Source organism: Homo sapiens, chromosome 14, assembly GCF_000001405.40.
Source record: "Homo sapiens chromosome 14, GRCh38.p14 Primary Assembly".
Classification (NCBI taxonomy): domain Eukaryota; kingdom Metazoa; phylum Chordata; class Mammalia; order Primates; family Hominidae; genus Homo; species Homo sapiens.
The window spans coordinates 62,344,575-62,369,415 of NC_000014.9; the positions used below are offsets into that span (position 1 = coordinate 62,344,575).

Here is a 24,841-nt window from a genome sequence, read left to right on the forward strand (position 1 = left end):
TTAGCTTGTTTTCAAATCCAAAGAACATGCTTATTTTGGAATACAGTTATGTGATGCTTACTGATGGGGATACGTTCTGAGAAATGGTGTAATTAGGAGATTTCATCATTGTGTGAACATCACAGAGTGTACTTACACAAACCTAGATGGATAGCCTACTTACTACACACCTAGGCTATATGGTATAGCCTATTGCTCCTTGGCTATAAACCTGTATAGCATGTTACAGTACTAAAAACTGCAGACAATTATAACACCAGGAAGTATCTGTGTATTTAAACAGAAAAAGTACAGTTAAAAATACAGTATGAAAGATGAAAAAATGTTTCACTTGTATAGGGCACTTACTATGGCCACCAAAGAAACTGGAAGTGTATGAGGTGGTGAGTGAATATGTGGTAAATGAATGAGTGGTGAGTGAATGTGGAGGCCTAGAACATTACTGCGCACTACTCCAGACTTTATAAATACTGTACATATAGGCGTACACTAAATTTATAAAGCCTTTTTCTTTAGTAATAAATTAACCTTAGCTTGCTGTAACTATTTTACTTTATAAACTTTTAAGTTGGAACTATTTTACTTGTTCGTAATACTTAGCTTAAAACACAGGCCAGATGCAGTGGCTAACACCTGTAATCTCAGCACTTTAGGAGGCCAAGGTGGGTGGATCACTTGAGGCCAGGAGTTCAAGACCACTCTGGCCAACATGGTGAAACCCCATCTCTATTAAAAATACAAAAATTAGCCAGGCTTGGTGGTATGTGCCTGTAATGCCAGCCACTCAGGAGGCTGAGGCAGGAGAATGGCTTGAACCCAGGAGGCAGAGTTTGCAGTGAGCTGAGATTGCACCACTGTACTGCAGCCTGGGTGACAGAGTGAGACTCCATCTCAAAAACAAAAAACCACAAACATGTCATACAACTGTACAAAAATATTTTTTCTTTATGCAATTATTCTATAAGCTTTTTTGTATTTTTAAAATTTGTATACTTTTTATACTTAAAAATTTTTTTTGTTAAAAATCTAAGACACAAACACACATTAGACTAGGCCTACATGGGGTCAGGATCATCAGTATCACTGTCTTCCACTTCCACTTCCACATCTTGTCCCACCGGGATGTCTTCAGGGGCAATAATGCATGGAATTGTTATTTCCTATAACAACAATGCTTTCTTCTGGAATACCTCCTGAAGAACATGACTAAGGCTTTTTTCCAGTTTGCTTTTTACTTTTCATTAAGTAGCTGGAGGTTGCCCTAAAATAATGATAAAAAGTTTAGTATAGTAAATATATAAACCAGTAACGTAGTCACTTATTATCATTATATATGCTATACATAATTGTATGTGCTATAATTTATACAACTCTCAACACAGTAGGTTTGTTTACACCAGCATCAACACAAATGTGAGTGATGTGTTGTGCTTCATCATTATGATGGCTAAGTCATTACTAGGCAATAGGAGTTTTGTTTTGCTCTATTATAATCTTATGGAACCACTGACATACATATGGTCCATCATTGACCATAACATCATTATGTGGTACATGACTGTACTTAAGTAATGGAAGGAATGGCAGGGATATGAGAAGAAAAAGGGAGGTTAGTAAAAAGGTTGAGGTGAAAAAAGAATTTGAAGCATAACCCTATAATAAGTAGATGAATTTTGTTAATAACTTTGGTCCCAGTGGCAGGGCTGTTTCTAGTGTGCAAGATTCCTCCACACATAGGACTATTTGAATTTCACAGCCAATCTATCAAATAAGGAAGGCAGAAAGTCTTAGCCACATTTTAAATGTAAAATATAAATGTGAAATGGAAAAATGGAGAAACTGGAGCTAAGAAAGGTAGAATAATTTTCATTAGGTCATATAGCTATGCTTGTAATACTTCTTCAGATGCTGTGGTTCACCAGCTCATTTTTTTTTTCCTCAGATATTCTAGAAATTTCTGTACTGTTAATGGAGTCCATCTCCCTTTACCAATGCAAATCCACACTAATGGTTGGGAGTCAACACAGAATCAGGAAGAAGAATGTTAGAGTCTATGATGAAATATAAAAGATTAGCTGGACTGGAGTTTAAGTACTTAAGACCTGTGACCCAAAGTAACATGCTCTCTGTAGTTTCTTCCATGCTGCGGTGAAATAGTTCATGGAAATGTTAGCTTGGCTGAATTCATTTAATACAAAAGGTCTTTATTTTGTTTATAAAAAGTGTCTGGTAGTGTTGTAAATGTTTATAGTATATTGTAATGAGATTGCAGTGTTCACATTTCTCTACCTGTAAGTACAGTTTAAGGCTTATTAAATAGCCTTATTATTATTATTTTCTGACCAGGGCATTTTATTGTTCCATGTATCTTCAGGCATAGCCATTAAATGGGAACCACAGCTTCATTTAAAAACTGGGTAGAGCAGGGGTGTCCAATCTTTCGGCTTTCCTGGGCCACACTGGAAGGAAAAGAATTGTATTGGGCCACACATAGAATACACGAACACTAACAATAACTGATGAGCTAAAAGGAAAAAAAATCTCTTAATGTTTTAAGAAAGTTTACGAATTTGTGTTGGGCTGCATTCAAAGTCATCCTGGGTGGCATGCGGCCCACGGGCTGCAGGTTGGACAAGCTTGGGCTGGAGATTGTGATAATTAGTAGAGCTAGGTTGAAGTCAAGGCTGACCAGGGTGCTCAGGACTCCAGGGAGCTCAGGACTCCAGGGAGCCAGGCTTAAGGGCAGACTGGAAATTCGGATGCTCACAGTCATGCTTGCCTGCGGTGCCCTTTCCCAAAGTTTAGTAATCACATATCTTGAAAGCTGCAGTAGAGAACAACTCCCAGGTGACATTCATTACCTTAAAGTGCTAGACTTTGACAGAGATCTTCTGCTCTAGAAGTTGTCCTGAAATTTCCAAAAACAAGGAGATTTGAGAGCTGGAGAGGGTAACACAGGGAGAACTACAGTGACTGATGTAGAGCTGATTCTGGGCGGTGTAATCGGACTGCAATCTGCATAAACAACTCTCAGAGGAACATCTGCCATGCCTTTGGGTAAGTGACATCTTTTTCCCCATATTATTCTTGGACTCAAGGCATGAAAAACAAATGAAAGTCTGAATGGTGTGACATTTCTGGCGGTGCTTATGAGCTTCATCCTGCCTGCACATATTTAAAGGGAACCCATGCAAATTATTTCCAAGTCAGGCGTGACTCAATGTGACAGTACCTCCAGAAACCTCCGCCCCATGAAGCAGCTTTCCTTTTTCCCTGCAGAGAGCATTATCATTTTGCCTCATGTTGCTGTCTCAGCATTTAAAGTCTGATACTAATTCTACTGATTGGTCCTGAGTTCAATTCTGTATTCTGAATTATATCCTGCATATGTTTTGTGCACTCACTGGTGGTGTTATTGCTAATGATAAACATGATGGTGATCTGTTTGGACAGGGATTCTCAGCCATCGTCTAGTCAGAAACAGCCAATTAATGAGCTCAGGAACTGGAGTGCAAGAGATGGTGAGGCTGACAGATCCAATAGGTGTAGTGAGGAATGTGACGGAAAGAAGGCTAAAGAAACCTACCTGAGGCAGTCCTTACAGAGGATGGCTGCGAGGGAATCCTGAGACTTCACCAAGTTTGGGTTAGAAATCTTTTAGTTGGATGTATGACAGTGCTTCGATTTCAAATTAGAAAATTTTCCATCTGCAAGTTCAAAAGTGGCCTCATTCTTTTTTACTTTATAAATTTTAAATTATGCATTATGTGTATAATAATAATTATGTGTATAATAGTTATACATATTTGTAAGGTGTGTGTGATATTTTGATATAAACGTATGATGTGTAGTGATCAAACGGGGTAACTGGGGCATCAATCATTTCTTTGTGTTAGGAACATTCTAATTTCTATTCTTTTAGCCATTTTGAAACATACAGTAAATTATGGCTAACCAATATAGATGAAAGTGTTTTAAGGAGAAGAATGTCATCATTCATAGCAAGATCTCAGCTGCCTGCTGGTTGGTGTCTGTGACTATAGCACATGTTTTTTGCCATGTTGGTGCAAAACACTTGAATTCCCATGGGAAAGGAAATAATAGGATGTGATGAAGTCAGAGGTATTCTAGTTGGGCTTCTCACTGTCCTGGTTTGGGCGACATGGCAATCTTCAAAGAGATCTATGATCGTTAAAACCTCTACCCTGACCAGAAGGTAGGGCCATGCTGGTAGGTGCTGAGGACGCAGCATTGAGCCAAAGAGGATTATTCTCAAGCCTCTAAATCTAAAGGAATTTGTCCTGCTAGGTTTTGAATTTGCTTGGGACCCATTAACCCTTTCTTTCTGATTTCTCCCTTTTGGAATGGAAAGGTCTATTGAATGCCTTGTCCCACCCATTGTATTTTGAAGGAAGATAACTTGTTGCCTGGTTACACACGTTCACAGCTGAAGAGAAATTTGCTTCAGGATGAATCATAGCTCCAGCCTCACCCATACTTGATTTAGATGATATTTTGAGCAGACTTTTGCTGAAATGGGTTAAGACTTAAGGGCTGTTGGGATGTGGTGAATGTATTTTGCATGTAAAAAAACATGAATTTGGCAGGAGGAGGGCAGAGGATAGGGTGTTATGGGCTGAGTTTTGTCCCTTACAAAATTAATATGTTGAAGTCCTTACCTTCAGTTCCTCAGAATGCAACTGCATTTAGATATAGGGTCTTTAAAGAGGTAATTCCTTTATATTTTATCATTTCTATTTACATAAAAGGAAGCCCCTGGAGTAGAACTACCTTTGGTCCTGAGCTGAGGATTACTTAGGCACAAGCCTCAAAAAACCACACATGCGCGTGCACAGCACACCCCCACCCCACTATAATGGGGTATGTTAAAGGGACACAGGGGCCAGCTGGAAGAGCTCCCAGTGGTCACAGCTGGGAAAATTTGAGTGACAAAATAAATAAAAGGGCATTGGATTATAACTCAAAGTATAAAATATCTACAAGTTCATACTGAAATCAAAAATTATTACATATATAAATAAATGAGGGAGAATAGGGAAAGCTCTCCTGCAGAAGAATTACAAATAATTTATAGATATACTCTGGCCACAAGAAAATGGAACATAACTTCCCACTCCTTAAGTGTAGATTGTGCATAGTGAATTCCCTGTATAGAATACAGAAAGGGGAAAAAAATAACTCGACAGTGGAGAAACTTGATAAATATCGCCTTAGTCACATGATCAAGGTTAACATAAACAGTGATATGTTATACTGTTATTATGTACCCTTTATATAATGTGATAAGAATGGCAGTGCACCACCAGAGTCTTCCAAAAACCCATAAGCTCAGTCAAACTATAAGACAATATCAGAGAAATCCAAAATGTGGGAAATTCTTCAAAATATTGAGAGTCCTTCTACTAGGTTGGTGCACAAGCAATTGTGGTTTTGCACCAACCTAATAAAAACTGGCGAGGTTATCAAAAACAAGAAAAATATGAGGAACTGTCACAGCCTAGGGGAGCCGAAGAAGACATGACGATGTAATATGGTATCCTGGGTGGGATCCTGGAGTAGCAAAAAGAAACTAGGTAAAACTTAAGCAGATCTGAATTAAATGTGGGCTAAAGTTAATAATAATGTATCAATATTAGTTTATTAATCATGGTGTACCATATTAATGTAAGTAGTTAATAATAGGGGAAATTAGGTTAAGGTATATGGGAACTCTGCACTAGCTTCACATTTGTTTAATGTCAAACTATTCTAAAACAAAAAGTTTATTTAAAAAATCAAAACAGAAAGTTGAAACAGAATATTTTGTCTTTAAAATAATTATTGTGGTAAAAACACTTAATATCAGGTCTATCCTCTGAAATTTTTTAAACTTTATTTTTAAATTAACCAATAATTGTATGTGTTTGTAAAGTACCTTGTGATGTTTTGATACATACAATTTACAGTGATCAGATTAGGGTAACTGGTATATCCATCATCTCAAACATTTATCATTTCTTTGTGTTGGGTACCTCCAATATCCTCCTTCTGGCTATTTGAAACTATATATTATTGTTAATATAGTCATCCTGAGTGGTATAGTACACTAGAAGTTATGTCTCCTATCTAGCTGTAATTTTATATCCTGCCCTCTTAAATTTAAAGTATACAAATAATGTTGACTATGGGTACAAAGTTATACAGTAGACTTCTAGCTTATTTACCTTGCTTAACTGGAATTTTATGCCTTTTACTATTAACTCCCCGTTTTCCCCTCCTCACAATCCCCAGCAACCACAATTCTACTATTTGACTCTATGAATTAGACTATTTTAGATACTTAATATAAGTGGAATCATGTAGCATGTGGCTTTCTGTGACTGGCTTATTTCACTTAGTGTAATGTCCTCAAGCTTCATCCATGTTGTCACATATTGCAGAATTTTCTTTTTTTTTTTTTTAATATACTTTAGGTTTTAGGGTACATGTGCACAATGTGCAGGTTAGTTACATATGTATACATGTGCCGTGTTGGTGTGCTGTACCCATTAACTCGTCATTTAGCATTAGGTATATCTCCTAATGCTATCCCTCCCCACTCCCCGCACCCCACAACAGGCCCCGGTGTGTGATGTTCCCCCTCCTGTGTCCATGTGTTCTCATTGTTCAATTCCCACCTATGAGTGAGAACATGCGGTGTTTGGTTTTTTTGTCCTTGCAATAGTTTGCTGAGAATGATGGTTTCCAGCTTCATCCATGTCCCTACAAAGGACATGAACTCATCCTTTTTTATGGCTGCATAGTATTATGGCTATTGTGAATACTGCTGCAATGAACATGGGAATGTTAATATAACTTCAAGATGCTAATTTCTGTTCTTTTGTATAAATATTCTGAGTGGGATTGCTGGATCATATAGTAGTTCTTTAATTTTTTGATAAATCTCCTTATTGTTTCCATAATGGCTGCACTATCATACATTCCCACCAATAGTGTACAAGGGTTCCCTTTTCTCTACATCCTCACCAACAATTATTACCTTTTAAAAAATAATAACCGGGTCAGGTGCAGTGACTCACGCCTGTAATCCCAGCATTTTGGGAGGCCGAGGTGGGTGGATCACGAGGTGAGGAGATCGAGACCATCCTGGCTAACATGGTGAAACCCTGCCTCTACTAAAAATACCAAAAAAATTAGCTGGGCGTGGTGGCGGGTGCCTGTAGTCCCAGTTACTTGGGAGGCTGAGGCAGGAGAATGGCGTGAACCCAGGAGGGGGAGCTTGCAGTGAGCCGAGATGGCGCCACTGCACTCCAGCCTGGGCAACAGAGTGAGACTCCGTCTCAAAATAATAATAATAATAATAACAACCACCATTCTAACAGGCATGAGATGATATCTCACTGTGATTTTGACTTGCATTTTCCTGGTGTCTAGCGATCTTCAGAATTTTTTTGTATATGTGTTGACCATTTGTATGTCTTCTTTGGGAAAATGTTTATTCATGTTTTCTGATCATTTTCTGTTTTTTTCTGACCATTTTTTGCTTTTTTCTATTTACTTGTAGGAGTTCCCTGAATATTGGATATTAATTCCTTATCAGATATATAGTTTGCAAATATTTTCTTCATTCCATAGGTTGCCTTTTCATTCTACTGTTTATTTATTTGGCTTTGCAGAAGCATGTTAGGTTGATGTAGTCACATTTATTTATTTTTGGTTTTGCTGTCTGTGCTTTTGATGGTATATCCATAAAATCATTGCTAAGGCCAATGTCAGAAAGCATTTCCTCTATGTTCTAGGGGTTTGATAGTTTCAAGTCTTGTGTTTAAGTCTGTTTTGAGTTGATTTTTGTGTCTGTGTAAGATAAGGGTACAATTTCATTCTTTCGCATCCAGTTTCCTCAGTGCCTCTTATGGAAGAGACTCTCTTCTCCCCATGTGTATTTTTGACAATCTTGTCCAAAGATCCGTTGAACATATATGTATTGATTTATTTCTGGGGTTCTCTATTCTGTTTCATTGAGATACAGATACCCACACATATGCACATACACATATACATAGGCATATACATACATATATACACATAAATACATGCATATCCATGTCTGTCTTTATGCCAGTACCATACTGTTTTGATAACTATAGCTTTGTAATATATTTTGAAGTTGGACAGTATAATGCTTCCAGCTTTGTTTTTTCTCAAGATTGCTTGGTCAATTAATAGTCTTTTGTAGTTTCATATGAATTTTGTACTTGTTTTTTCTATTTCTGTAAAATATACCATTAGAATTTTGATAGGGTTTCTTTGGATCTATACATGTTGCTTTAGGTACCGTGTACATTTTAACAATATTAAGAGTTTCAATCCATGAACACAGAATGTCTTAGTATTTGTGACTTGTTTAATTTCTTTCATCAGTGTTTTGCAGTTTTCAGTATACAAGTCTTTCACTTCTTTAATTAAGTTTATTTTATTCTTTTTGTTGCTATTGTAAATTGGATTGTTTTCCAATTTTTAAAAGATAGTTTGTTAGTGTATAGAAATGCAACTGATTTCTATATTGATTTTTGTATCCTTCAACTTTACTGAATTCTTTGATTAGTTCTAAGAGCTTTTTTTTCCCGAAAAAAAATGGAGTCTTTAGGGTTTTCTACATAGAAGATCATGCTGTCTTTAGACAGGGACAATTTCATTTCCTTTCTAGTTTGTATGCCTTTTATTTCTTTTCCTTGTTCTTGCTAGGACTTCCAGTGCTATCTTGAATAGAAGTGGTAAGAGTGGACATCCTTGCCTTGTTCTTAATCTCGGAGGCAAAGCTTTTAGTTTTTCACCATTGAGTTTGTTGTTAGCTCTGAGATTTTCCTAGATAGCTTTTACTATGTTGAGATAATTTTCTTGTTTTGTTGGAAGTTGCTATGGTGAAAAGGTATGAAATTTTGTCGATGCCTTTTTTGTATCTTTTGAGCTGCTCATGTAATTCTTATCCTTCATTCTGTTTATGGGCATATCACATTAAGTTTCATATGTTGAACCATCCTTGCATTCCAGGGATGAATCTCACTATGCCATAATGTATGGTCCTTTTAATGTTATTGAATTCAGTTTGTTAGTATTTTTGTTTACAATTTTTGAATCTGCTTATCAAGGATATTGGCCTGTAGTTTTCTTTTCTTGTGGTGTTTTTGTCTGGTTTTGATATCAGAGTAATTCTGATCTCATAAAAATATTGGAAGTGGCTTCTCTTTAACTTTTTGGAAGAGTTTAAGAAGGATTGGCATTAATTCTTCTTTAAAGGTTTGGTAGAATTTACCAGTGAAGCCATTAGGTCCTGGCTTTTCTTGGTTGGGAGGTATTTTATTATAATCAAATCTTTGTAATAGTTATGGGCCTGTTCCAACTTTCTATTTCTTCATGATTTAGTCTTGATAGGTTGTGTGTTTCTAGAAATTTATTTAAATTTATTAAAATTATTAAAATAACATTTCTTTAAAAGGTTATCCAATTTGTTGAAGTATAATTGTTCATGCAATCCATTTTAACCCTTTTCATTCCTATGGGATAATGTCTCATTAATTTTTAAATTTTATTTATTTGAGTCCTCTTTTTCCTAGTCTAGCAAAGTTTTGTCCATTTTATTTACCTTAAAAAAAAACAATTTTTAGTTTCAATGATTTTGTTTTTCCTTTTTGTGTTTTGTATATATTGTGTTAATATTTATTATTTCCTTTCTTCTGCTAACTGTGAGCATAGTTCTTTTTCTAGTTTCTTTTGTGTAAAGTTAGGTTGTTTAATTGAAAATTTTATTTATTATTTCAATAGTTTTTTGGAAACAGGTGTTTTTTTTGTTACACGGGTAAGTTCTTCAATGGTGATTTCTGAGATTTTGGTGCACCCATCACCCAAGTAGTGTATACTGTACCCAGTGTGTAGTTTTTTATTCCTCACACCAGTTCCCTCTGAATCTCCAAAGTCCCTTACATCATTCTTGTGCCATTGCATCCTCATACCTTAGCTCCCACTTGTGACAATATACAATGTTTGGTTTTCTATTCTTGAGTTACTTCACTTAGAATGATGGTTTCCAACTCCATTCAGGTTGCAGTAAATGCCATTATTTCATTCCTTTTTGTGCCTGGATAGTATTCCATGGTATAGATATATACCACATTTTCCTTATCCTCTCATTTGTCGATGGGCATTTAAGCCAGTTCCATATTTTCCCAATTGTGAATTGTGCACTATAAACATGCAGGTGAAATGTCTTTTTTATATAATGATTTTTTTCCCTCTGGGTAGATACTCAGTAGTGGGATTGCTGGATCAAATGGTAGTTCTACTTTTAGTTCTTTAAGGAATCTCCATACTATTTTCCATAGTGGTTGTACTAGTTTACATTCCCATCAGCATGTAAAAGTGTTCCTTTTCTACCACAATGATGCCAACATCTATTATTTCCTGATTTTTTAATTACAACCATTCTTGCAGGAGTAAGGCAGTAGTGCATTCCGGTTTTCTCTATTAGTGATGTCGAGTATTTTTTGGCCATTTTTATATCTTCTTTTGAGAATTGACTATTCATGTTCTTAGCCCATTTTTTGATGAGACTACTTGTTTTTTTCTTGCTGACTTGTTTGCGTTCCTTATAGATTCTGGCTATCAGACCTTTGTCAGATGCATAGTTGTAAATATTTTCTCCTACTCTATGGATTGGCTGTTTACTCTGCTGATTATTTCTTTTGCTGTGCAGAAGCTTTTTAGTTTAATTAGGTCCTATCTATTTATCTTTGTTTTTGTCACATTTGCTTTTGGGTTCTTGGTCATGAACTCTTTGCCTAACCCAATGTCTAGAAGAGCTTTCCTGATGTTATCTTCTAGAAATTTCATGGTTTCAGGTCTTAGATTTAAGTGTTTGATCCATCTCAAGTTGATTTTTGTAAAATTTTCTTCATTTTTAATGTAGGCATTTATCTCAATAAACTTTCCTCTTAATAATGTTTTTGCTGCATCCCATAAGTTTGATGTTTTGTTTTCATTTTCTTTCGGGTATTTTTTTCTAATTTCCATTTTGATTTTTTCTTTAACTGAATAATTCTTCAAGGATGTGTTGTTTAATTTCCACATATTTGAGGATTTTTCAGTTTTCCTTTTGGGATAGGTACTTCTAGTTTTATTCCATTGTGGCCGTAAAAATATAATTTAAACCTTCTTAAATTTGTTAAGATTTGTTTTGTGACATGTGATCTTTCATGGAGAAGGATTCATGTGCAGTTGAGATGAATATGTATTCTGCTGCTGTTGGGTGGAATACTCTGTATACATATGTTCAGTCCATTTGGTGTATAGTATTGTTTAAATCTTCTGTTCCCTTACTGGTCTTCTCTCTGGTTGGTCTATTGAAAGTAGGTTATTGACATCTTCTATATTATTGCATCACTCTATATTTTTCCTTTCATATCTGTCAAGGTTTCCTTTATCTAGTAGATTCTCTGATGTTGGGTACATATATATTGTTCTATCTTCCTAGTGCATTTACTCTTTTCTCATTACAAAATATCCTTCTCTCTGTATCCTGCAACAGTCTTTTAGTTAAACTAAATTTTGTTTTATGTATATCTAGACACTCCTGCTCTCTTTTGGTTAGCATTTGCATAAAATAAGTTTTTTTCATTATCTTTTCACTTTTAGCCTTTGTGCATCCTTAAATCTAAAATGGGTTTGTTTTACACAACATATAATTTAGTCTTGCTTTTTTTTAAAAAAATTAAATCATCCTATGTCTTTTGATTGAGGAGTTTAATCCATTTACATTTAAAGTATTCACTGATAGGAAAGTATTTATTATTGCCATTTAGTTAGGTTTTTCCCTGTTAGTCTTGTAGTTGTTTTGGTATTATTCCCTTTTTCTGCTGTCTTTCATTGTTTGTTGATTTTTTTGTAATGATATGTTTTGATTCCTTTCTTTTCTCTTTTGTGTAAGCTCTAAGGTCTACAAGTACTTTATTTTTTGTGGTTATCTTGAAGTTTACATAAAATATCTTATAACAGTTTATTTTAAGCTGATAACAACTTCAGTTCAATTGCATCCAATCTCTGCAGTTCAACTTTTCCCCACAGGTTTTATTATAACAATCTGTATTTATTCATACTATGTTTCTTTTAATATATTTTAGTTATATTTCTAATACTTTTGTCTTTTAAATTTATATTAAAATTGAGAATGATTTACTTACCACTACTACCATAATATGGTACTTCTTTCTATATTTCTTTATCTTAACCAATGAATTTCATGCTTTCTATACCGTCATTTTCTTTTCATGTTAACTTGAAGAACTTCCATTAGAATTGCTTGTAAGGCAGGTCTAGTGGTAATAAACTCCCTCAGCTTTTGTTTGCCTGGAAAAGCCTTCATCCCTTTTTTCTTCTGTCTGAGAGTTAGTCAGACATAGCATTTTTGGTTGACAGGGTATTTCTTTATCTTTTTTTTTTCTTTTAGCATTTTAAAATTATGTCTTTGACTTTTGACCACTTGATTTAATGTGTTTTGCTGTGAACTTTTTTAGTTCCTCTTATTTGGTGTCCTTTGGGCTATTTGGATCTGAAGTCCATTTTCTTCCCTAATTTGTGTGTTTTTCAGCTATTATTTATTTAAATATTTTTTTGATCCTTTGTCTTCTCCTCTGGAATTCACCTAATGCATATATTGGTCCACTTGGTGTACAATAACTTTCTCAAGCTTTCTTTACTCTTTTGTATTCTTTTTCCTTTTTCTCCTCTAACTGAATTATTTCCAGTGTCTTATCCTATAGGATTTATCTTCTTTCTTTCTTTGGAACATCTTTGACTGATTCTTTATTTTCCTTGACTCTCTGTGTTAGTGTCTGGGAATTAGACAAAACAGGCATCTCACTCAGTCTCACAGACTTGTACAGAGAAAATCCCCATCAATTAACTCAGCCAGAGATTTTAGGAGCCTCTATGTATTCTTTTTCTCCCCAGGGAAAAGCAGACAGTTGTGGATTTTTCCTGCTTGCTCTTTTCTCTGCCAAGAGCAAGGACAATCCATGGTTTCTATCAGCCCATGCTGCCATTTTTATTATCCTCTGTGTGGCTAGAATGTGCCAGACCTGTAAGAGCTCAAAAACTGGCAAGAAAGATGCTAGTTCTTTGGGCAGCCCTGGAGAAGGTGGGCTATTGGTTACACAAATTAGCTCTTACTCTCTCTAGGGGAGAACTGAGAGCTGTGATTTTCATCTGTTTTCTTTGTGCTAAGCAGCAGGGAGGATCATTGGCATTTACCAGCTCAATCTGCTGCCTCTGTTCTCTCCCAGGTAGCTGGACAGTACTGGACCCATCACAATTTCAATACTGGGAAGAGAAAAGCCAGTCCTCTGGGGAAAGATGAAGCACTGGACCTACAAACTAACTACTTTCAACCCCTGGATGAATCTAGGAGGTAGGGTATCTCTTTTTGATTATATGGTACTGCACTGGGGAAGAGTCTCTGATAAGAGGACTGTTCTGAATCTCCTTTGGCCTGAGTGAGTGTTTTCACACTTGACCAAGTTGCAGGAGCCTTTTAATTCATTTCCTATTTCTCATAAAGGGAATTTGTCCATGTATTGTCGGTGAATTCAGCTTGGTTGTGGGGTGGAGGGTCCAAAGCTTCCTACTCCATCATCTTGCTCACGTGTATTTCCAAAAGATGATGTCTCAGTGTTCAAGTAAGTATTAAATCATAACTTCCATCATATCACTAAACTCAAACAGTATAATTGAGCTTTGTATACAAAATGTTATGGAGTTGAGCCTTTTGTAAAGTTTTAAAATTTAAGATAATAGTAATATATTTATACACAGATGAAAGAAATCAAAGGAAGTAACACAAGTACTTATAATGAAAAACTACAGTCCTCTGCCCTCATGGAATGTGTCTTGCTCTCTAGGAGGACTGCTTTTTAATTATTATTTTTGGGTTTATATCCATGTCTGTGACTTTATTTTACTTTTTCTTTCACAGATCAAGAAAAGGTTCTCTTACATTTTCAGCTCTTCTTATGCCTTCCTTCCTATATGTGTTTATCACTATTTCTAGTTTCTTGGATATTTTGCATTGTAACTTAAGGTGATACACATATATTTATTTATTGCTTTATTTCTTCAATCTCTACTTAGTCAGGGAATGTGTTTAATCACTGATTTTTTTCAACACTCCTCCTTCTTCCCATCTCTTGTCTTTTTGCTATCAACATACTATATTTGTTGACTTTTAAAATTAATCAAGTAATACATGACCTCTATTATTTATGTTTTCTTAGAAAATATAAAACTTTGTTTTGGGTATTTTAATTTTTTTCTATGGTTCTTTAACTTCTTATGTCACTCTGTAACTTATTTTTTACACTGAATAGTATGTTTTAGGTACCTGTCTAACTTACTGAATATGGAACTATAAATTTTTTCCTGCTCTAGTAAATATAGCATGCTTATATGGTGTTGTTTCCGAGTTGACAAATATTTATATCACTTTCATTTTTATGTTATAAAAATGCTGCAATTAACACCAGCATACAGAGTCTTTTGCATTTGTGTACCTGTTTTTCACAGATATGAAAAATGGAATAGCTGAGGCATGGATCAAGCAAGGATAAGCACATATTAAGCTGTTAACAGATATTGCCAAATTTTGTTTATATTTTGTTAAGAAATTTTTGTTTATGTTCATGAACATTTTGCCTATGTTTAAATAATTTTTTGACTGTTCTGAGCTTATTGCAGCAGAGGTAGTAATTTAACTTTTTCAAACTGGTTGCTAAGGAGGTTGTAAGTAGACTACTGTTGTCATATGTTGTCTCCCTATTGGCAGTTGGTGTATTCAGTCTCACAGCCCTCCCTCTGTGTCATTATCTCATTTCTAAGAGATTGACCAATACAGGGAACGCTGAAAATCAAGATCTTCACCACTTAAAAGTTGTTCAGTTTTCTCCCTAGTCATTTGAATTGTAGATCTTGATTTTTTGTTGTTATGTCACCACGGTGATCATTTAATTAGAGAACAGCTGCACAGAAGCATTTAAAACTCTGAATAGAATGCACCAAACCAGCATCATGACCACTATGAGGAAAATAAAAACAGTAGTTTCTCTGGGATTTCAGAACCAGGAACTCTAATTGCCTAACTCAGACTAAAAGAGCAAATCCTGTAGGCCATGAAGTTTAACCTTAGCCAAGTAGCTTTTCCCTACCTTGTCTGTTTCATTGATTCAGATACAGCAAGGAGTATTTGCGATGGGACAGGCATCATCATTACTAGCCAACAAGAAAATCTTAAGCAATGTGACTGTACATCAGTACTTATGCCCAATAAATTGAGACTGATCTGTATTCCATTTAGGGAAGAAGTAGAATCATTAGTGACTTATGACAGAGTTAGTGATGGTTTCTTACAGTGTTTTTTTCTATTTTTATGATTCCTATTTTGGGGAATACTGCTATGATCATTTGCATAAATGATGAATTAGTAATTCCCCCAGGTTGAGTGCCCAAATAATCAAGGATAATCCTGTTTTGAAACTTGTATCTGAATTAGAATTTCCAGCATTGGTGATTTACAGAATAAAGGCTTCTGCATACAGACAAAACTTGGAATAGTTTTCCTAAATTGCATGAAGTGTTAGTCTGGGGCAAACAGAACCACCCTGGAAAAAGGTAGTATCCAATGGCTCCATGAAGAACCAGGAAAATAACTAGTTTTTAATAACATGAGGTCAGAACTGAGGCCTTATGTTAGCTAGGTTATATATTTAAATCTTTATGAGTCTCTTCCTGGTGACAAGCAATTTGTCCACTGCTCTAGAAAGATTTTTGAGAATTACCTATGATATGATCAATAGATTGTAATAATTGGTTCTTTTTCCGGGAAAGAGGAACACTAGCAAAATAATAGGTTGATTTTTAGAAAAGTCATTTGTCTATATAGGTGTAATTTATTCTGCTTTTTATAATAAGTACATAATGATAGCATTATTTGGCTGTAATTCCTTTTGGTTTCATTTGATGAAAACAGAATTATCCAGAGGGTTTTATAATTGGGGTCTGGTGATGAAAGGTGTACCCAGCATTTGGTAAATTGGCAGTGGCTATTCTTTGGAGTAAGTTAAGAGTGACATTAGACGTTAGAATTAGTACGTTCTGACCTAGCTATTATAATACAGAAAGAGAAAGAGGATTATGGGTGTACAACAGCCAGATATTAATAAAATAATAAGAATTATTATAACCAATCAGACAGAAAATCAGGAGTCTGAGTCTGATATCTTGGGCAGAAGTTGTCCACTAAACAAGGTCCTCTGCTTGTTTCAAAGATCATCTGTCTAATTCAAAATATCAGATGCTTCTAGAAGATCTTCGAGAAACCTGAATTTGAGGCTCTCTATTGGAATTATGTTCTAATTCTATAGAGTTCTGGATTGTTGTGAAACATGACTTGAGTTTCACTATACTGTTGTTAACAATGCTAACAGTACTTCCAACAGGGTTTAAGAGGATTTTTTCTGTTTTTGTTTTTTTTAGGTTTTTTTTTTTTTTTTAGTAGATGAAATCTCCAGTTGAAGAGCATATAGAGGCTGTTTAAGAGGCTGTGGGAGGGCAGCCTTAATCTGTTGGTGATAGGTATAGTACATGTGTCTCTCACAATTCTTTGCCATGTCTCTGTGCAGAAGGGAGGAGTCTAATAACAGGATGAATTCCCTAAACACATGGTGTATTGTGAGACCTAAAATTTCAAGTGTTGCCTTCATATTTTTGAGCCTCACAGGGCCCTAAAAGCCTAGGTCTGTATTCCCCTGCTCTTGTCAGGTATGCTCTCCATGTGGTGGGAAAGGACCCACACTTGGCTGATTTTCCTATTAGCTGATCAAACTGCAGCCCCCCCTAATTCTCAACGTAATGAGTTTCACCTCCTTGCATGTCTGTGAAATTATTCAAGCCAGTTATAGCCTCCTGTAAGAACCAAGGGTCACCTAATGCTCTTGTTACTACAAAGCCTGCTTCCCACAGTCCCAGCTGTTTCATTGTATTCCCAAGCACAGTTCAGCCACCATGTGGCCCTGGTGGCATCCTCATTCTCTCAGGCTATGAGTATATGTGACTAATAAAGTGCTACAATTCTCATCCTTCCAGTGCTGGGTATTATGTGTTCAGCCGTCTCATACTATTTGGGGTGAGAACTCCCTCCTTCACCAATGGGATGAATAAGAGGTGATCAGAACACACGGGCCTTCCAATTACCAGTTAGTGGTTGGTAACTGTGTGTCCCTAAGGGCTATTAGGGATAGTGGGAGTAACATTAGTAAGGATGCTTAAGGGTTTCTGGGAGTTTGGCAGATTTTAAGGATGCCATTATTTTTTTCAAACTTTGCAGATGATTGTGGTTAATAAGGGTAGTGTAATTTTTGCATACAAAGCGAATCATTACAGAGTCCTTTTATGATGATTCCTGCAAAGTATGAGCCTCAATCACTTGATATAAAAGTTGGTATGCCCCAGGTTGGAAGCACAAAATCAGTTAGATTTTTAGTGACTGTGAGGGCTACAGCTTTTGGGCAAGTAAGAAAGCTACAATAATACCCAGAACCTGTTCTTGAGGATGGAAGCTGGATAAGATCCACCTGAAAGCATTCAAAGGACCCTTACAACTTTGATTTCTACTCCACCTCGGCACTTTCTCCAGTGTCATGTTGTTAACAGGTGATACATAACACAACAAATAATCTTGCCTGTCTTTTTAATGTTTCCCCAGAAGTGTTGATTTAGGACAATAACCAATTTATCTGCACCATGATGGGTAGTTTCATCAATAGATTTAGCTAACATTCATTTGAAATTATCTGATGCTACCAAATGGCCATCTTGAGATACCCAGATATTATCAAAGTGAGGGCACAGCCAAATTTTTTCCATTTTTTCCTTTTCAGAATCAGGGGCTAAGCATTTATATGTTATAAACAACCTCTTTGTTGTTTATTTACATTTATTTTAGGTTCAGGGTTACATGTGCAGTTTTGTTAATATAGGTAAATTGCTTGTTATGGAGATTTGGTGTACAGATTATTTTGTCACCCAGGTAATAAGAATAGTACCCAATAGGTAGTTTTTTGAACCTCACCCTCTTTTCTCCCTCTACCTTCAAGTAGGGCCTGGTGTCTCTTTTTCCCTTCTTTGTGTCTATATGTACTCAATATTTAGCTCCCACTCACGGGAATATGTGGTGTTCGATTTTCTGTTCCTGTGTTACTTTGCTTAGAATAATGGCCTTCAGATGTATGTTGCTGCAAAGGACATGATCTCATTCTTTTTTGTGGCTGCATAGTATTCCACGCTGTATATGTACCATATTTTCTATATCAAATCTACTGTTGAATGGGCGTTAAGGTGATTTCATGTATTTGCTATTGTGAATAGTGCTATGATGAACATGCACATGGCTGTGTTTTCATGGTAGAGCAATTTATATTCCTTTGAGTATATGCCCAATAATGGGATTGCTGGGGTTGAATGGTAATTCTGCTTAGAGTTAATTGAGTAATTGCCAAACTGCTTTGCACAATGGCTGAACTAATTTACACTCCCATCAGCAGTGTATAAGTGTTCCCTTTTCTCCGTAGCCTCACCAGCATATTTTTTTTTTACTTTTAAAAAATAGCCCTCTCACTGGTTTGAGATGGTATCTCATTGTGGTTTTGATTTGCATTTCTCTAATGAGGGGATGTTGAATATTTTTTCATGTGTTTGTTGGCCACATGTATGTCTTTTGTTTTTATTTTATTTTATTTTATTTTATTATTATTATACTTTAAGTTTTAGGGTACATGTGCACAATGTGTAGGTTAGTTACGTATGTATACAAGCCACATGTATGTCTTTTGAAAAGTGTTCATGTACTTCGCCTACTTTTTAATGTGGATTTTTGCTTGTGAATTTAAGTTCTCTATAGGTTCTGAATATTAGACCTTTGTCAGATACATAATTTGCAAATACTTTCTCCCATTCTGCAGGTTGTCTGTTTACTTTGTTGATAACTTATTTTGCTGTGCAGAAACTCTTTAGTTTAATTAGGTCCAACTTGTCAATTTTTGCTTCTGTTACAGTTGCTTTTGGCATCTTTGTTATGAAATATTTGCCAGGTCTGATGTCCAGAATGGTATTTCCTAGGTTATCTTCCAGGGTTTTTATAGTTTTAGGTTTCATAGTCAAGTCTTTAATCTGTCTTGAGTTGATTTTTGTATGTGATATAAGAAAGGAATATAGTGTCAATCTTCTGCATATGCTAGGCAGTTATCCCAGCACCTTTATTGAGTAGGGAATCATTTCCTCATTGCTTGCTTTTGTCAACTGTATTGAAGATCAGATAGGCGTATGTGTTTGAAATTATTTCTGGGATCTCTGTTCTGTTCCAGTGGTCTCTGTGTCTGTTTTTGAACCAGTTCCATGTTGTTTTGGTTTCTGTAGCCTTGGAGTATAGTTTGAAGTTGAATAATGTGATGTGTCCAGCTTTGTTCTTTTTGCTTAGGATTGCCTTGGCTATTTGGGCTTCTTTTTGGTTCCATATGAATTTTAAAATAGTTTCTTCTAATTCTGTGAAGAATGTCTTTGGTATTTTCAAAGGAATAACATTGAATATGTAAATTGGTTTGGCTAATATGGCCATTTTAATAGTATTCTTCCTGTCCCTGAGCATGGAATGTTTTTCCATTTGTGTCATCTCTGATTTCTTTGAGCAGTATTGTGTAATTTGCATTGTAGACGTCTTTTGCCTCTCTGGTTAGCTGTATTCCTAGGTATTTTATTCTTTTTGTGGCTATCGTGACTAGGATTGCACTCTTGATTTGGCTATCAGCTTGTGTGTTGGTGGTGTATAGGAATGCTACTGATTTTGTACATTGTTTTTTATCAGTAAACTTTTCTGGAGTTGTTTATCAGATCAAGGAGTTTTTAGGCAGAGATTATGGATATTTATAGATATAGAATAATCTGTAAACAGGGATGGTTTGACTTCCTCTCTTCCTATTTGGATGTCTTTTATTTCTTTCTCTTGCCTGTTTTTGCTGACCAGAACTTTTAGTACTGTGTTGAATAGGACTGATGAAAGAGGGTATCCTTGTCTTGTTCCAATTTTCAAGGGGATTGTTTGCAGCTTTTCCCATTCAGTATGGTGTTGGCTGTGGGTTTGTCATAGAAGATGACTCATTATTTTGAGGTATGTTCCTTCAATACCTTGTTTATTGAGCGTTTTTAACATGAAGAGAGGTAGAATTTTATCAAAAGCCTTTTCTGCATCTATTGAGATAATCATGTGGCTTTTGCTTTTAATTCTGTTTATGTGATGAATCACATCTATTAATCTGCGTATGTTGAATCAACCTTCCAGCCTAGGGATAAAGCCTACTTGATCACGGTGGATTAGCTCTTTGATGTGCTGCTGGATTCAGTTTGCAAGTATTTTGTTGAGGATTTTTGCATCCATGTTTATCAAGGATATTGGCCAGAAGTTTTCTTTTTTTGTGTGTGCGACTCTGCCAGGTTTTGGTGGTATCAAGATGATGCTGACCTCATAGAATAACTTAGGGAGGAGTCCCTTCTCCTTAATTTTTTGAACTTGTTTCAGTAGAAATTGTACCAGCTCTTATTTATGTATCTAGTACAAGTCAGTGCAAGTCAGCTGTGAATCCACCTGGTTATGGGTTTCTGGTTGGTAGGCTTTTTATTACTGATTCAATTTTGGGTCTTGTTATTGGTCTATTTTGGGATTTAATCTTGGGAGGTTGTAGATTTCCAGGAATTTATTAATTTTGTCTAGGTTTTCTAGCTCATGTGCATAGAGGTGTTTGTAGTAGTCTCTGACGATTTTTTGTTTCTATGTGGAGTCAATGGTAACATCTCTTTTGTCATTTCTGACTGTGTTTTGGATCTTTTTTTTTCTTTATCAGTCTTGCTAGTGGTCTATGTATCTTATGAATTCTTTAAAAAAAACCAATACCTGGATTCGTTGATCTTCTGTACGATTTTTCACAGCTCAGTCTCCTTCAGTTCAGCTCTGATTTTGGTTGTTTCTTGTCTTCTGCTAGCCTTACAGTTGGTTTGCTTTTGTTTCTTGAGTTCCTACTTGTGATCTTAGGCTGTTAACTTGAGATCTTTCTAACTTTTTGATATGGGTGTTTAGTGCTACACACTTCTCTCATAATACTGATTTAGCTGCGTCCCAGAGATTCTGGTATGTGGTATCTTTTTTCTCATTAGTTTCAAAGAACATCTTGATTTCTGCCTGAATTTCATTATTTGCTCAAAAGTCACTCAGAAGCTGATTGTTTAGTTTCCATGTAATTGTATGATTTTGAGCAATTTTCTTAGTAATGATTTCTATTTTTATTGCACTGTTGTCCAAGGGTGTGATTGGTATTTTTTTTTTTAAATTGGAGGATTGTTTTATGTCAGTTGTGTGGTCAACCTTAGAGTATGTATCATGTGCAGAGAGAAGAATGTCTACTCTGTTGTTATCCCTCCAGAGATTCATACTTTAGGGATTTAGTTAGAATTATTACCTCGAGGCTGTCTTACTGGCACAATAACCTGCTAGAGTATGTCTTTTAGCTTCTTTCCTTTTCTTTTTTCTTTTTTGGCATGGGCCTCAACTTTTATAATAGCTGTTTGTCTAGGAGGTGATAATGCAACTAAAAGTTCTACAACTTGTCCTTTCTTTACAAGTGGATGTACAACCCCAATTATTTTCAAAGCCTCCCCACATGTTGGTTTAGAAGCATACCTGTTGTCTGTATGTATGTTGACTCTCTGGTCTTTGGTTTATTGAGAAGCTCTTTATCATGTGCAACAAGTTAACAAGTTTTGCCATCTGAGATGAGTTTATTCCAGGTAGAGATCTATATTTTAAAGGACAACTTAAACAAGTGATAGAGTGTTCTTGATAGTTTCTCATTTAATTTTTGAGGCACGATCCAACAACAGGTAATATTAGGTTAGGATTCAAACTACATGAGTCGCTAATAAATCTAATTAAGTTACAGAAAGTTCCTTAGCTGAAGCAAGATAATTAAGAGGTTCCCTGCCTTTTGTTAGGGTCAGGAGAGTGGCAGGATTCAGCTGTGAACAGTATGTGAAATAGAGTAGCAGCATCTCAGCAGAGGTTGATGGCTGGATGAAAGTGTTGCATGCCCTCAGTTACTAGTAATGTCTGTACTGAATGAAGAGCTGTTAGATTATGTGGGGGAACCTAGAGCTAGTCCAACAGAAGCTACAGCATTTTTCCTTTTTTTGAGACGGCGTCTCACTCTGTCACCTAGGCTGGAGTGCAGTGGTGCGATCTCGGCTCACTGCAAGCTCCACCTCTGGGGTTCACGCCATTCTCCCGTCTCAGCCTCCCGAGTAGCTGGGACTACAGGCGCCCACCATCAGGCCTCGCTAATTTTTTGTATTTTGAGTAGAGACGGGGTTTCACCGTGTTAGCCAAGATGGTCTCGATTTCCTGACCTCATGATCCGCCCACCTCAGCCTCCCAAAGTGCTGGGATTACAGGCGTGAGCCACCGTGCCTGGCTGCTGCAGTAATTTTTACAGTATAAGTTATTTCTCTAAGACCACAGGGTTAAGACTTTGCAACTGGGTCTAGGACGTTTTAGAAAGAGATGGGTTTTTGAGGGTTCTTATAAGTGAAACCTAGAAGAGATTGTCCATATGGCTTATATACAAATGGACAAAAGAGTGTTTTATAGTTAGGGATGCCTATGGAAGAGGGGTCTATTGAAAGACTTCTGGCCAGGTGCAGTGCCTCATCCCTGTAATCCCAGCACTTTGGGAGGCCGAGGCGAGCGGATCATTTGAGGTCGGGAGTTTGAGACCAGCCTGACCAACATGGAGAAACCCAGTCTCTACTAAAAATACAAAAAAATTTAGCCAGGCGTGGTGGCACATACCTGTAATCCCAGCTACTTGGGAGGCTGAGGCAGGAGAATTGCTTGAACCCAGGAGGTGGAGGTTGCGGTGAGCCGAGATGTGCCATTGCCCTCCAGTCTGGGCAACAAGAGCAAAACTCCATCTCAAAGAAAAAAGAAAAAAGAAAAGCCTTCTATAGGTTATGAAAGGCCTTCTCATGCTTGAGTTCCTACTGAGGACTTAATCCATAAACAGGTAGCAATCTCAGAAAAAAATAATTGACCCTGCTGTCTGCAAAACCCAATTAAGCATGGAAATCTTCTTAATTGTTATTTTGTGAGGGGTCTAGGAAAAGTTGGTATTGTGTTTTGTCTATTAGGAGATAGTGATAATCCATTCTAAGTCTTTCCCTAAATAGTGCATTGAGTTTTTATGATATTAACTTACCTTTTTAAACACTGTTGTTGTTTTGCTAAGGCTAAGTGCAAGTAGATGGAATTGTTTTTACCGATTTCTTTTTTTGTGTTGTTCTCTAAACAAAGTGGGAGATTCACTACTTATTATATCACAAACTGAATCACAGGGAAATTTAGGTCTTTGAAGCTTCTACTGAGGACCTGGGACAAATAGGACAAGCTTCAGTGAACCCTGGGGACATGATCAATTCATATATATTGTTGCTCTCTGCAGATAAAGAAGGTATTGACCGTCTTGGTACAGGGGTACACAGAGCAAAGATCAATTAATATGGTGAAGCAAGTGGTTTCAGGTAGAATTGATGATAGGTATGTAATCAATTTAAGTACTACAGTAAATGAAGGGATAATAAGTTTGTTGATGGCCATGAGATTTCAAACAAACTAATATCCTTGTCCTTTTGGTTTCTTTAATGTCAGGGAGGGAAAGTTACAAGGGCTATTGTAGAGTATGAGAAGGCCTTTGGATATATGACCTTCAACTACAGGTGTGAGTCCATTGCTTCTGGCTTCAAGGAATATTGGGGAAATGTAGGTAACAACTTTGCAGGGTCTACCTGAATTTTAACGGGTTTTATTCTAGTTTACCTATGTCAGTGGAATTTTTAGCCCATAGAGTGAGGTGCGGTGCCAGTACTTCTATTTTTGACATGCATTAAATATAATAGAGAGGGCAAAGATATGCCCAGAACAGATACAACTTGATTATGAATAGAGGAGTCCTCTGGAACATCCATAAAGAGTCCTGCTGGTGTAGGTTTAATATTACAATTCCATTTGCAAAATCAGTCTTTCTCTGTTAAACTTGCAGGTGTGGTATCACAACGCAGGGAGGAATGTCTTTTAATCAAGGGCTCAAGGGTTAGAATTAAGGGCTGGGAGACAGGGAAAATCTGTGTTATCAGGAATACCTACCCCTTATTTGGCATGTTTATGCCTAAGATTGTGCAAAGGTGTCAGCATTTAACTGTAGAAAGAATAGCACTTCTATCTACCAGGAATTAATGAGGTTAATCACTGTATTTATAGTTAACTCATTTTGAGTGTTTAATTTTAAGACAAGATACTGGGTTATGTTTTTCCTTCCTTGGAGCGCTCTAGTTGAAGTAAACTGAGGGATTTTGTTTTGATTTGGTTTTTCTTTTGTCAGATGGAACGATATCTCTTCCAGTATCCCTTCGGTTTATAATATCTATAAATATCCTTGTTAATAAGTGTTTGGCTAGGAATTGGGCCAGTTAACTCTTAGATCTGCAGTGCCATAATGTTATTTTGGGTCCTGTTTTTATTTTTGTTTTACAGCTCTTCCAAAATGTTCTGTCAGGAGTTGTATGTGAATCACCATGATGAACATACTATAAATGAGCAAATATAAAGTGAAAAAGACACCATCTCTGTTTCCGGGGACCTTAAATATCT

At 36.3% G+C, this 24,841-nt stretch overlaps 1 long non-coding RNA gene across 1 annotated transcript in view; it reads left to right on the forward strand.

Annotated features, from left to right (window-relative positions):
* Window positions 1–13,334: 13,334 nt before the first annotated feature.
* The window catches only part of LOC105370529 (uncharacterized), a 149,443-nt gene continuing 137,936 nt past the window's right edge, over window positions 13,335–24,841 (forward strand). Inside the window, exon 1 of the long non-coding RNA XR_943932.3 lies at window positions 13,335–13,459. This is a non-coding gene — a long non-coding RNA (uncharacterized LOC105370529). The remainder of the gene's footprint in view (window positions 13,460–24,841) is intronic.